This window comes from Homo sapiens, chromosome 4 (genome assembly GCF_000001405.40).
Source record: "Homo sapiens chromosome 4, GRCh38.p14 Primary Assembly".
Taxonomy (NCBI): Eukaryota; Metazoa; Chordata; class Mammalia; order Primates; family Hominidae; genus Homo; species Homo sapiens.
This window is the reverse complement of record NC_000004.12, coordinates 86,469,936-86,484,694: the sequence shown is the minus strand read 5'-3', so window position 1 is coordinate 86,484,694 and position 14,759 is coordinate 86,469,936. Positions and strand designations below refer to the sequence as shown.

Sequence of the window (14,759 nt, the reverse complement as noted above, 5' to 3'; positions counted from 1 at the left end):
AGATTAGATAGATGTCAAAAATGTGCTCAAGCATAATGCCTGGTCTAGCATCATAATGGGTAGCATTAAATTATGTGCTGGGTGTTGTGCTAACTGCTTAATGTGTACTACCTCATTTATCTTTGGGTGGATTTTATTATCCCCATTTTCCAGATGATAAAATGATTACAACTTGCACAGAGTCACAAAGCAAGTAAAGTATCAAGGAATTCAAGCCTAGTCAGTTGGCCTCCATAACACCTGCTGTTAACCACACAACCACAACTACTAGGAGAGACAGGATGAGAAAGTGAGAACATTACGAAAGCTTGCCTCCGTTCTTAGCTGCTAGATGAACTTGGACAAGTTATTTAAAGTTTTGAGCATCAGTTATCTGCAAAATGAGGATAATAACACTTGCTTGTAATGTGATAATGGGAGTTAAATAAGAATGAATTATATAAAGTGAATGGCGCCCATTAGCACTCAATAAAGGATATTTATTCTTGTTATTTCTAGGTTAAAAATATAATCCTTTAGCCACTCCGTTTAAACATCCTGTTAAATTCTCTCGGCTTCAAGGATAAAGCCCACACTCCTTATCATGGAATACCAAGCCTCCATTACTTGCTTCCTCCCCTCATCTTCCAGCTTGAGCTTTAATAATACAACTGCTGTGGCTCCCCTGAAGTGCATTGCTCTCCCATAAATCTCTGCCTTTGGAAGCCTGCTCTCTTGGCCTGGAAAACTGTCCTTCCTTCTCTTGCTCCTATTCCAACATTTGTCTTCTGGCTACCTCTTATTCTTTAATCTTTGGATCTTCCCCTCCCCCTCTTCTTTTATAAAGCCCTCAATCATAGAAAGGTTGTCCTTTCTCAGATGCTGTTGTAAGTGTGCATACATCCATCTAATCTCATTTCATGATTGTTTACTCATCTTTTTTCCCTGCTAGACTGTGAGCTGTTAGAGGGTAGAGACTTTAGTTTTGATATTCCAAGACTTAGCAGGGTAGTCAGGCAATGAATGCTTGATGTGTGAGGACTAAATGCAATAATTGGAGGTATAGAATCTGGTTCTTAGCAGGTGTTCGATAAATATTGTCCAATGTTTTAATAATTTTTGTATAAATATTATATATTCCATTTTAATAATATTTATTATTTATTAATTATAGCGTGATGTTTGCGGCTTAGCGGTCTTTCTGCCCTTTGTTTCTTTGAACATATTTCAGAATTTGCACGTTTCATGAAGTCTCTCTAGTTTGTTCTATATTCTTACTTATCAGTAGAAGTAATTATAAAGTGATTCTGCATTCTGCTTGCTTTCATTATTTTCCTAAGTGAAAGTTTCCAGTTTTTGGATTTTTTTTTAAGCACACTCATAATCAAATGCAGTGTCTTTTGTTAAGTTGTTAACTGACCTAAAATATGGGCATTTCAACTAATTCAAGCTGAGAAGAATCGGTGAGGATTCTGCAGAAAAGACATAAAGAAATAAACATGACAATCAACACAAAGAAAGTTGGAAATCCTTTTAGAGGGGTACGGTTTACCAATGTGACGACATCTTCTCTTTTGACAAAGATTCAGTGCTGGCAGCCCCTGCTGGGGAGACGGTAGAAGAGGAAGAGAGGAACTACAGGGACACAATTTAAATGTTTTGACAGCTTAGTCAAAGAAGTGAATTGCTGCAGGCATTTGCACATTTAACCCCTGCTGTGACAGCTGCAATTCTTTCTCTCTCTGTCTAAATCCTACAATCAGCTCTTTGGAAAGCTAAATGTTGTATGCCTAACACAAAAAATAAATGAGAAAAGAGGGAAAAAAATTAGGTGAGCCAGAATGGAATATACTCAAATCTCTGTTAGGTGGCAGTGATTTATCTTAATTTTCTTACTTTCATTTTTCATTAGCCATAACCTAGAGTGCTAGAATTCTGTGCCTGATTCTCTTGGGCCTCATGCAACAACACATTCTGGCAGGATGAACAGTTTTAATGGTGAGGAATATGATTATGATATGCTTCAATTTAGTTCCAAACTTTACTGAGCTAGTCCTTCATAATTCATAGATGCTTCTGCTCATTTTTGTCAAAACAGTGCTTATGGGAAGAGGCAAGTCAATCAACAATTTCTCATTGTTGGAACAAGGCATATTTTTCACAACGGCAGGAGCTCTCTGTCTTTGTCTCTGTTTCTATGTCCCTTTCTTCCTCCCTCTGCATCCCCCCACCATCCTTCAAATCATGGCACGTAACTAGAAAAAGAGCAAGATGAAAAGGAAAAGAGGAGTGTGGTATTTGGGGCACTGACTTAACACAGCATTTCATTCTACAAGCAAGATTTATGTTGGTGGACTGACTATTGTTTGAAATGAAATCCAGTAACACTAAGTTTTTGGCAACATTAAAAAAATCTCACCTCACAATTCATAATCACCTACTGCTCTATTAGGTGCAGGGAAGAATTTAAGAAATATAAAACAATGTCTGCATGTCCTGTTCCCCTACAAATGAGCTAGGCAGGAGTGTAGAATTCAGGAATTAAAATGCTTATTTTAAAATTTATGAAACTTGTAAGAGTTTTCATGGATAAACAAGGCCAACATGAAATCACTTAAAATGTATCCTCTTTTTGAAATGTTGTACTTCATTGTATTATAAAATCAATTATAAATTTCTTGAAAAGTTTGATTTCTAATAAACTGCACTGTTTTCCCTGGTCTTGTATTACGGTTATTCTTTCCAGTGGCTTTTCCTTTAGAATTACTAAAATCCCATGATTTACTCCTACTTGACTTTAAAACAGTTAAGAAAAATAACTCAAAGTGCTGAGAACTTAGAGAAATCAAGCAGTCCAGAGTTAAATAGAAAGTATGCATTGTTTTGCTTGTCAGATTGGCAGTTTCCATTAGATGATTTCATGGGGTTAATTTGAATTTCTTGCCTTCTTAAAATTGTAAGACAACTACATTCTTAGGCACCTGTTTCTAGCAGTACGTACTTGCCTTTAAATCTCTTTTCATTGTAATGGACTAAGTGGTTGCTCAGCCTAGAGAACAAGTAAATCTCTGTAAGCACTTAACTCACTACTGGGGAAACATTTCTGGAACAGTTCATTATGTGTCACAGCTAGGGTCAACACTCAAATAATGGATGAGAACAATACCAAATATTTTTAGTGGAGACTAATTAAGAGGTAAGCAAGAGGGATTGCATGGCTACATGGTGTAGAAACAGAATTTTAGAGGATGGGAATAATAGTGGCAATGGTTTTTTTTTTTTTTTTCCTCCACTTTCACAACTTTCAGTTAAAAATCTGTGGCCATGTTGGGGTTCAAAAAACAATACCCCAAAGTAAGGTGCTTTAGTATGCTGATTGGTGCCTTAAACTCAAGGAGATTAGAAGGCCTCTGAAGCAAGGTCTCTCTGATTTTCTCCTGCCCTCCTGTCTCTCACTTCACTTTCTCCCCCAAGCAAGTCATAGAAGCTAGAATTCTTCTTCCCCACGGTAAGCCATAGAAACCAGAACTTCTTTCCTCCAAAGACAGCTACAAAACCTAGAAATATCATTCTAACCTTCCACTGGTTTCCTGTTTAGGAAGGAATTTGCAATATAGAAATTCTCTGACTTGCTTTGTCTGATTGTAGGTCATAAGATCCTCATTCTATAGAGGTCTTGTCCTATACCTGGGTTGAAGGAATCCTACACAGAAAGGCCAAGAAGAATCTGAATGGACAGCCTTGTTGGTTTTCCTGCCTCATTGTGTTACTGTTAGATCATTCCCTTTTTGTCTAATCATATTTCTACATCGCTGGCCATTCTTTATCAAATCTAAGCATAACAATTGACAGTTTTCCCTGGGTCTTTCGATCTTCATTTCTGAAGTCTCCTGTGTCACATAACACTTTGATTAAATAAATTTGTTATGCTTTTCTCTTAACCTGTCTTTTGTTGCAAGAATGACAGCTGTAACCCTTATGATGGATGAGGAAAGATATCACCTTTTCCACTCCTACAGCCTCAAAACTGTCTCTAATAAATTGAACTCCAGCAGGGGTTATGGAAATTGAATGTTAAAGTCCTTGGCTACAAATTTTATCATCTTTAATTCCAAATGTTCTTTTCTTCATTTTGTGTCAGGGTGGGAGGGAGTATTTACAAAGATTCCTGAAGAACTGTCAAAAGGTGTTCATTTCACTCGCATCCGTGTGAAGAGACCACCAAACAGGCTTTGTGTGAGCAATAAAGCTTTTTAATCACCTGGGTGCAGGTGGGCTGAGTCTGAAAAGAGAGTCAGTGAAGAGAGATAGGGGTGGGGTCATTTTATAAGATTTGGGTAGGTAAAGGAAAATTACAGTCAAAGGCAGTTGTTCTCTGGCGGGCAGGAGTGGGGGGGTCACAGGGTGCTCAGTGGGGGAGATTTTTGAGCCAGGATGAGCCAGGAGAAGGAATTTCACAAGGTAATGTCATCAGTTAAGGCAAGGACCGGCCATTTTCACTTCTTTTGTGGTGGAATGTCATCAGTTAAGGCAGGAACAGGCCATTTAAATATCACTTCTTTTGTGATTCTTCAGTTACTTCAGGCCATCTAGGTGTATACGTGCAGGTCACAGGGGATATGATGGCTTAGCTTGGGCTCAGAGGCCTGACATTCCTGTCTTCTTATATTAGTAAGAAAAATAAAACATAATAGTGTTGAAGTGTTGGGGTGGCGAAAATTTTTGGGGGTGGTATGGAGAGATAATGGGCGATGTTTCTCAGGGATGCTTCGAGCAGGATTAGGGGTGGCGTGGGAACCTAGAGTGGGAGAGATTAAGCTGAAGGAAGATTTTGTGGTAAGGGGGGATATTGTGGGGTTGTTAGAAGAAACATTTGTCTTATAGAATTATTGGTGATGGCCTGGATACAATTTTGTGGGAATTGAAAAAATAATGGAATAAGACAAGGAGAAAAACAGGTATTAAAGGAGTAAGAATTGGGAGGACCTAGGACATCTAACTAGAGAGTGCCTAAGGAAGTTCAGCATAGCCCTGCCGGCAAAGATGATTTATTTACTTTAAGAGGGAGTTAAGAGTGGCGGTTTGGGGATAGCACCAGGAGACATCAGCTGTGGTGGCTTGGAGAAACAGTGTAAATCGGCAGTGTAAATAAGAGCAGGGCATTTATGAGTAGTTGAGAATGGTGAATAGGAGTATGACTAGACAGAAGATAGTAGGGACGACAAGTTTTTTTTTTTTTTTGGTGGGGGGTGCAGTCCAAGTTGGTCTAGTGTCTGGAATGAGACTGGGGCCTAATAAAAAGGAGCGTCTATACAGGAGCTCAAATGGGCTGTACCTTGTAGCATTCCAAGGACAGGCCCGAATTCTGAGAAGGGCAAGTGGTAAAAGTATTGTCCAGTCCTTTTTAAGTTGGTGGCTGAGCTTGGTAAGGTGTGGTTTTAAAAGACCATTAGTTCACTGAATACTAAGAGCCTGAGAAACTGCTTGGGTGATTTGACTAATAAAGGCCGGTCCCTTACAGGACTGTATAGAGGTGGGAAGGCCAAACCGAGGAATTCTGTCTGACAGAAGGAAAGAAATGACCGTGGTGGGTCATTTCTCAGATCCTGTGGGAAAGGCCTCTACCTATCCAGTGAAAGTGTCTACCAAGACCAAGAGGTATTTTAGTTTCCTGACTCAGGGCATGTTGAGTAAAGCTAATTTGCCGGTCCTGGGCAGGGGCAAATCCCTGAGCTTCATGTGTAGGGAAGGGAGGGGGCCTGAATAATCTCTGAGGAGTAGTAGAATAGCAGATGGAAGACTGAGAAGTTATTTCTTTGAGAATAGATTTCCACGATGGAAAGGAAATCAGAGGTTCTAAGAGGCAGGCTAGTGGCTTGAACTATAGCATGGCCTGCCTTTGCTGGTGTGTTGCGATTAGGCCTGGTGGAACTGCCATCAATAAACCAAGTGTGATCTGGGTGAGGAACAGGAAAGAAGGAAGTATGGGGAAATGGGGTGAATGTCAGGTGGATCAGAGAGATATAGTCATGGGGCTCAGGTGTGGTATCAGGAATAATGTGGGAGGCCGGATTGAAGTCCAGGCCAGGAACAATGGTAATTGTGGGAGACTCAACAAAGAGTGAGTACAGCTGAAGGAGCCGGGGAGCAGAAAGTATATGTGTCAGGTGTGAGGAAGAAAATAGAGTTTGGAAGTTATGAGAACTGTAGAGAGTGAGTTGAGCATAGTTTGTAATTTTAAGGGCCTCTAAAAGTATTAGGGCAGTGGTGGCCACTGCACACAGACTTGAGGGCTAGGCAAAACAGTAAGGTCAAGTTGTTTGGATAAAAAGGTTACAGGGCGTAGTCCCGGTTCTTGTGTAAGAATTCCGACTGCACAACCCTGCACTTTGGCTGTGGGTAATGAAAAGGGTTGGGATGAGTCAGGGAAAGCTAGGGTGGGGGCAGTCTCTAAAGCTCTCTTCAAGGAATGGAAAGAGGAGTGGGGAAAGGATTTAGGATCTACGGGGTCAGCTAGGTTTCCTTTTATGAGTTTATATAATGGTTTTGTTATGGCAAAACCAGGTATCCAAAGTCGAAAGTATCCAACCATGCCTAGGAAGGAAAGGAGTTGTTGTTTTGTAGAAGGTGTGGGGTTTGAGAGATCAGTTGGACACAATCGGTGGGGAAAGCACGTGTGTTTTTATGATAATTATGCCGAGATAGGTAACAGATGAGGAAGAAATTTGGGCTTGACTGAAGTAATGGAGGCTGTCCGTGAAGCCTTGCGGCAGTACAGCCCAGGTAATTTGCTGAGCCTGATGGGTGTCAGGGTCAGTCCAAGTGAAAGCAAAGAGAGGCTGGGACGAAGGGTGCAAAGGAATAGTAGAGAAAACATGTTTGAGATCCAGAACAGAATAATGGGTTGTGGAGGGAGGTATTGAGGATAGGAGAGTATACGGGTTTGGCACCATGGGGTGGATAGGCAAAACAATTTGGTTGATAAGGTGCAGATCCTGAACTAACCTGTAAGGCTTGTCAGGTTTTTGGACAGGTAAAATGGGGGAACTGTAAGGAGAGTTTATAGGCTTTAAAAGGCCATGCTGTAACAGGCAAGTGATAACAGGCTTTAATCCTTTTAAAGCGTGCTGTGGGATGGGATATTGGCGTTGAGCAGGGTAAGGGTGATTAGGTTGTAATGAGATGGTAGGGGTACATGATCGGTCACCAAGGAGAGAGTAGAGGTATCTTATACTTGTGGGTTAAGGTGGGGAGATACAAGGGGAGGATGTGAAGGAGGCTTTGAACTGGGAGAAAAGGTGGCAATGAGGTGTGGCTGTAGCCCAGGAATAGTCAGGGAAGCAGATAATTTAGTTAAAGTGTCTTGGCCTGATAAGGGAACTGGGCAGGTGGGGATAACTAAAAAGGAGTGCTTAAAAGAGTATTGTCTAAATTGGCACCAGAGTTGGGGAGTTTTAAGAGATTTAGAAGCCTGGCTGTCAATACCCACGACAGTTATGGAGGCAAGGGAAACAGGCCCTTGAAAATAAGGTAATGTGGAGTGAGTAGCCTCTGTATTGATTAAGAAGGGGATGGACTTACCCTCCACTGTGAGAGTTATCTAGAGCATCTGTGATGGTCCTGTAGGCTTCTGAGGCAATCGGGCAGTGTCAGTCTTCAGCTGCTAAGCCGAGAGGATCTGGGAAGGAGTCAGTCAGAGAGCCTTGGGTCAGAGTTCCAGGGGCTCTGGGAGTGGCTGCCAGGTAAGTTGAACAGTCTGATTTTCAGTGGGGTCCCGCACAGATGAGACATGGCTTAGGAGGAATCCTGGGCTGTGGGCATTCCTTGGTCCAGTGGCCAGATTTCTGGCACTTGTAGCAAGCTCCTGGGGGAGGAGATTCTAGAGGAACCCCTGGCAGCTGTGGTTCAGGCGTTTGGAGTTCTTGTATGCTGGTGATGTGGCTGGGGCTTGTCTCACAGTGGAGGCAAGGAATTGCAACTCAGAAATACATTGCTACTTGGCTGCCTCTACTCTATTATTGTACACCTTAAAGGTGAGGTTAATTAAGTCCTGTTGTGGGGTTTGAGGGCCAGAATTTAATTTTTGGAGCTTTATTTCATGTCAGGAACAGATTGGGTAATAAAATAAAATGCATATTGAGAATAAGACGGCCTTCTGACCTTTCAGGGTCTAGGGCTTTAAAGCGTCTCAGGGTTGCTGCCAAATGAGCCATGAACTGGGCTGGGTTTTTCATATTTGATGAAAAAGAGCCTAAACACTAACTGATTTTGGGAGATGTCAGATAAAGAAAAAGGAGCATTAACCTTGACTATGCCTTTAGCTCCAGCCACCTTTTTAAGAGGAAATTGCTGGGCTGGTGGGGGAAGGCTAGTCACAGAACGAAACTGTAAGCTGGACTGGGTGGAAGGAGTGGAGGTGATAAAAGGATTATAGGGTGGGGGAGCAGAAGCTGAGGAAGAATTGGGACCTGGCTCGGCCTGGTGAGGAGCAGAGAGGTCAGATGGGTCTGTAGAAAAGGAAGATTAGAAAGACTCAGCAATGCTTGGGGTTGGGACTGAGGGGACAGGTGGGAAGGAAAGAAGGAGGATCTGGGATAAGTCACATTGGTAACAGACTAGGGAGGGAACAATGTGTAAAAGAATGCCTGGACGTCAGGCATCTCGGACCGTTTGCCCATTTTATGATAAGAATTATCTAGATCTTGTAGGATGGAAAAATCAAAAGTGCCGTTTTCTGGCTATTTGGAACCACTGTCGAGTTTGTATTGGGGCCAAACGGTATTGTAGAAGAAAATAAGGCGTTTAGGTTTAGGTCAGGTGTGAGTTGAAGAGGTTCTTGAGAACACAGGCTAAGGGAGAAGGAGGAATGGAGGGGTGAAGGCTGCCCATAGTGAAGGAGGCAAGCCCAGAGAAAAGAGAGAGTAGAGACATGGAGAGAAGGGGTGGGGGGTTCTTGCCCCCTAGAAAAGCGGTACTTGCCGCTAAGGGTGAAGAAGGGGTTGGGAGGTTCTTGCCCCCCAGAAAAGCAGTACTTGCCGTTAAGGGTGAAGGACCAAGGCAGGCGTCCCCATGTGGTCAGACACCTCTGAAATGTGGGTGAATAATCAGGCAGGCATCCCCGCATGATTAAACACCAAGGGAAGACTGTCTTCCCGAGTCCGTGACCGGCGCCAGAGTTTTGGGTCCACGGATAAAACGTGTCTCCTGTCTCTACGAGGAAAGGAAAGGAACTGAAATTAAGAGAAGGGAGAGATTGAAGTGTGGCGCCAAGATTGAAAGGAGAAAGAGGTTGAGGGATAGTGAGAGAGGTTGGAGAAGAGAGTAAAAAGAAGCCACTTACCGGATTTAAAATTGGTGTGATGTTCCTTGGGCTGGTCGGTCTGAGGACCCGAGGTCGTAGGTAGATCTTTCTCATGGAGCAAAGAGCAGGAGGACAGGGGATTGATCTCCCAAGGAAGGTCCCCTGATCCGAGTCATGGCACCAAAATTTCACTTGTGTCTGTGTGAAGAGACCCCACCAAACAGACTTTGTGTGAGCAATAAAGCTTTTTAATCACCTGGGTGCAGGTGGGCTGAGTCTGAAAAGAGAGTCAGTGAAGAGAGATGGAGTGGGGCCGTTTTATAAGATTTGGGTAGCTAAAGGAAAATTACAGTCAAAGGGGGTTGTTCTCTGGCAGGCAGGAGTGGGGGTCACAAGGTGCTCAGTCGGGGAGCTTTTTGAGCCAGGATGAGCCAGGAGAAGGAATTTCACAAGGTAATGTCATCATTTAAGGCAAGGACCGGCCATTTTCACTTCTTTTGTGGTGGAATGTCATCAGTTAAGGCAGGAACAGGCCATTTAAATATCACTTCTTTTGTGATTCTTCAGTTATTTCAGGCCATCTGGATGTATATGTGCAGGTCACAGGGGATATGATGGCTTAGCTTGGGCTCAGAGGCCTGACAGTTCACTCATTTATTAATTCCTTCATTTATATGGCCAGTCAAGCTTCTCTGGAATGCTCACTTTATATTAGCTGCTAGTCAGTACTTTTCCTTCAGCTCATTTTCTAGCTTTGTAAACTAAACTGGGGTGCAGTGGGTTGAAGTGGTTAAGTATGATGATGAAGAAAAAAATTAACATTTTCAGAGACTGGTAGAATAATGTTTGGTGTGTGAAAATTTTCTCAGTGTATTTTGCCAAAGACAATTTATAATTGAAAGTGCTGAATAACTTTCGGACCTCTCTATGCTTTTGGAGGACAATGGATAAGTCTGTGTTAATAGTAACTCCAATTTAAATATTTCATTTGAGTTTCATTTTATGATATAAACATAGGTAATTTTTTTTAAAGCCATGTATTAATTTCAACACTATGGATTCAACCTTAGGATGTCTCAATTAATGTATATACAAGCTATATTAATACTGATTCATCTCTGGAGATTGCTCCCAATAACTTTTAGAACTTTCCATATTAACCATAAAAATAATCAAATGTAAGTTTATAGCTACTTTATTCATTTCTAACAAATAAAAATTGTGCACCAATGATATGCCAAAAGTATCCAAAGATGAATAAAACTGAAACCCTGTTGGAAATATATACATGACACACTGTAAAGTTTTCTTTAAAAAGCAAGTTGCTAAGTTACATGTGGTGCATGATCCCATTTGTGAATAACAAAGTACATATATATGCGTGGAAATGTATGTGGGACGAAGTTGTTAATAATTCTTTTTTTTTTGGTAGAGACAAAGTCTCACTATGTTGCCAGGGCTGGTCTTGAACTCCTGGCCTTAAGCTATCCTTCCATCTCAGACTTCCAAAGTGCTGAGATTACAGGCATGAACCACAGCGTCCAGCTAGACTCTCATGCCTGGAGGATATAGCATTGCTGGCTGCTGGAATCACCTCACTTCTCTGGGAACTTTCCTTTCTCAAAGAAGAATGATTTTCTGTAGTCACAGACATATTACAAATTTCTACCCCTCCCTGACCTCAGCTAGTGGACTAGTGGACATTAGAACCAAGGAGAGCCAAAGTGTTGTCTGGGTTGAACCAGTTTAGATTTTCTCTAATGCGGTTTTAAAATTGGGATACAGAAAGGCACATGAGTTGGTGAATTTGCTGGAATAGGGAGTCACAGTGTTTGGGCCTCTATGTGAGTAGCAGAGAAAATTAGGCTGGGGCTGGAGGAAGAGAGAGACTATTTCCTAATCTCTTTCCAATTCTTGGACTCAGCTATGTAAATCTTACTGTACTTTCTGCCTTTAGTTCCCAGAATTTTTTCTTTTTAAATAAAAAACCTTTCTATACTCAATCTATTTTGAATGAAATTTTTGGTAATTCAGAGAACCTTCACAGTAGGTCATTCATTTCCTCTTTTTGAAAATTCAATCCTGCTGCTCTAAAGTAACTTTCCCTAAGGTCGATATGTGATATCTGTTCAAATAAACCCTGCTTTGACCTCCAACTAGAAATACAGTATTTGTGGCTTCAACATATTTTAAGACCACAATTTCTAAGCAAAAATTTTTAGAAAAATTTCATTTTTGCAGGTCCTAAATAGAACTAAAGAAACATTTTTATTTTCAAATATAAGTGAATCAGAAATGACATTATTTCATCTGAAAAATAACAGGTAATATTTTCTCCCCCTGTTAACAGTGGAGAGTGTCCAGGTTCTTGGAGTCTTGAACAAAGTATTGGACAAAATGCACAAACAAAGCAAGGAAGGAATGAAAGGTTCTATTGAAAATGAAAGTACACTCCACACTGTGGGAGCAGGCCTGAGCATAGGGGCTCAAAAGGCCTGTTACAGAGTTTTTGTGAGTTTAAATACCCTCTCCCTGGGGTACGCCCTGTGTAAATGAAGAGGATGAAGTAGAGTTACAAAGTCATTTACAGTATACACCCTGTGGAGAGAATATTTCCTGTTACAGCTGTAGTGTGAATTGACCTTATGTTCCCCTGCCTCCAGACCCTATTTTCCTGCCTCACCCCTATACAGTTTATTGTATGATGAGTTTACACATTTCAGAATCTTATCTTGTCTTTCTACTCTGCAACTTTTTTTTTTTGGAGACAGGATCTTGCTTCTCACTCTGTTGCACAGGCTGAAGTGCAGTGGTGTGATCACAGCTCACTGCAGGCTCAACCTGCCTGGCTCAAGTGATCCTCCCACCACCCTCCCAAGTAGTGGGACTACAGGTGTGCACCATCATGCTCTGCTAATTTTGTTGTATTTCTTGTAGAGATGGGGTTTTGCCATGTTGCCCAGGCTGGTCACAGCTTTGTCTTTTTTCTGTAGTCTGTAATTTTTTTTTAAACCTTATTGTGTGAATCCAGTGTCAAACTACTTTTCTTAGATGTTCACAAATGGATAATTATTCACATCGGTATTTGAAGATCTCTTAACAAGATCCATAAATACCACTTAGAATTGCTCTTACTAGTTTAAAAACTTTGTAGGAAAGTAAAATTGTAGAATACATAATATCAATCTACTGAATAAAAGCATTTAAATGAACTAAAATAAAATTTTATTATCAAATGTTTGTGTGCTTCTCAATGTTTTATTTTTCAAACAGAAAACTCTTTAACTTGAAATGTTCATCAATTTAAAGATTAAATCAGCTGAAATAATATTAGAATTTGATATATGATGAATTTTAGTCTTCTGAACTATAACTCAATTTGGTACATGTAATCAGTTTATTATGGCAATTGGTTTATTCCTGATGAATGTTGGTATGAAATTTTTTCAATAACTACAACAAAACCCCTAAACTCTTAAAAAGCAAATGACTGTAATTTTATTAAAAGACAACATTTTTGGGTTACGCTGAGTTTCAGTATTTTACTTATACATTCAGTTTCTACAGTCATCATCTCTGATTTCATATTAAAGAGGTACACAGAAATCACCTGGGTTTCTCTTTGTTGAAAAAAAAGGAAAACATAGCAGATGCATTATAGTAATTAAGTAACAATTTTTGCTGCAGGCAAAAAATATCTTTCAGGCATTTTAATTAAGCCAACTATGTTTCAGCATGCTTGCAAATGTACTTCATTTGATCTTCACAAAATCTGAAGTATGGTATACATAACAACAGTGATAACATGGTAAATGTTTTATATTTTCAGGAAACAACCATTTTTATATAATTACTTTAAACTGTAAAATGTATTTCTGTTTTTCAAATATAAATCCAGGCAATTGTATTTAATTTAAGGAAAACATGAGAGGCCAATTATTTTGAGAAATGATGGCTTTGTGTTCAGCATCCATTAGATTCAGTTTTCATGGGTTTATCTCTTATTTTGTAAGAATACATCAGTTTAACACTTACGAAATAAGACTTTTTTCCTTAATGATAATTTCTCCATATGATCACATTTTTATTGCAATTGTACTATATGTACTAGTTTAATTCTTTTTTTTTTTTTTTTTTTTGCAGGGGGGCACAGAGTCTTGCTGTGTCGCTCAGGCTGGAGTGCAATGGCATGATCTCAGCTCACTGCAACCTCCACCTCCTGGGTTCAAGCAATTCTCCTGCCTCAGCCTCCTGAGTAATTGGGATTACAGGCACGTGCCACCACACCCAGCTAATTTTTGTGTTTTTAGTAGAGATGGGGTTTCACCATATTGGTCAGGCTGGTCTTGAACTCCTGACCTTGTGATCCACCCACGTCAGCCTCCCAAAGTGCTGGGATTACAGGTGTGAGCCACCATGCCCAGCCTAATTCTTCGTTAGCAATACAATGCCAGTAAATATTTAAATAAGAATAAAACTTATAACTGGATTTGTTTTGGTAAGTAGTTTTGGCTACTAATCTTAATTTCTTGATTTTGAGTCACCTGACTTTTGGTTTGGTTTATTTTGGAATTCCTTTATTATTTTTCACATCACCTTTTAACTATCTTGTATAATAATTTTTTAAAAAGAAATATAGGAAAGTCTTGTCTTCTACATGCAAAGCAATACATTCACCTAACATTCAATTCTTTCCCTTGGTATTAAACAGTTATGAATCCCTTTGGCTGCAAAGGGAGAATAAAGAAGTAGCAAGATATAGAATGAAAAAACAAAAAGGAAGAAAAAATAGGGGAGATGAAATGGGAACAAGGCAAATAAATTATATTTAACAGAAAGAGGTATGAGAAAATTAATGAATTAAGAAGATAAGGAAATAGGTAAATATTAAAATAAGAAGACAATATAGGAAAGCAAATATTTATTTTAGTTAAATCAAACATGATTTTATGAATAAAAAGAGGTTTAACTCTCCTAGAAGACATAAATGTTAAAATATCTATTCAGACTTGTCCCAATTTAAATAAAAACACAATCTTGTATGATAAAAATATTCCAATACTGTTATTTTCTCTATAACCATAATTCTCTGGGACAGGAAATTCCAAATGACATCAACTTCATGTTTCAGTTACAAACTAAATTAAAATTATTTTAGAATAAAAATGGGATGCATCTTCATTTAGAAGCCAGATGCCTTATTAAATATAATTTCCTCTGTTGGCTGCTTTATATTAAGGGTGGATTTAGAATAAGAACAGCTTCTGTGAAATATAATTATACCCCCTTTTGTGACTTTCATGGTCATGGAGGCTGGAATAAGAAAGTAGCTAACAAACAAAGCTGCAAAGCAGTGTTTACTTTTGGTCTAAAGGATTTGCTTAAATCTTAAATCAGCTATCATTTTCTTTTGCTATTCCAGAACCTTGTATTGTCTAGATTATGTTGGATTGATTGATATATCCAGAGTTTTCTGCTA

At 39.8% G+C, this 14,759-nt stretch overlaps 1 protein-coding gene across 5 annotated transcripts in view, besides 3 other annotated features; it reads left to right on the top strand.

The window, feature by feature from the left end:
• The window catches only part of MAPK10 (mitogen-activated protein kinase 10), a 583,670-nt gene that overhangs the window by 109,380 nt on the left and 459,531 nt on the right, over positions 1 to 14,759 (top strand). The gene's annotated exons all lie outside the window — the stretch shown is intronic.
• Positions 1,135 to 1,891: an enhancer, noted in NCBI's record as "OCT4-NANOG-H3K27ac-H3K4me1 hESC enhancer chr4:87403957-87404713 (GRCh37/hg19 assembly coordinates)". NCBI's record gives its function as "activates a minimal SCP1, AML or CMV promoter by ChIP-STARR-seq in naive H9 embryonic stem cells {active_cell/tissue: H9 hESC(naive)}" and the evidence as "EXISTENCE:reporter gene assay evidence [ECO:0000049][PMID:30033119]".
• Positions 7,225 to 7,725: an enhancer, noted in NCBI's record as "H3K27ac hESC enhancer chr4:87398123-87398623 (GRCh37/hg19 assembly coordinates)". NCBI's record gives its function as "activates a minimal SCP1, AML or CMV promoter by ChIP-STARR-seq in naive H9 embryonic stem cells {active_cell/tissue: H9 hESC(naive)}" and the evidence as "EXISTENCE:reporter gene assay evidence [ECO:0000049][PMID:30033119]".
• Positions 11,550 to 12,119: an enhancer, noted in NCBI's record as "OCT4-NANOG hESC enhancer chr4:87393729-87394298 (GRCh37/hg19 assembly coordinates)". NCBI's record gives its function as "activates a minimal SCP1, AML or CMV promoter by ChIP-STARR-seq in naive H9 embryonic stem cells {active_cell/tissue: H9 hESC(naive)}" and the evidence as "EXISTENCE:reporter gene assay evidence [ECO:0000049][PMID:30033119]".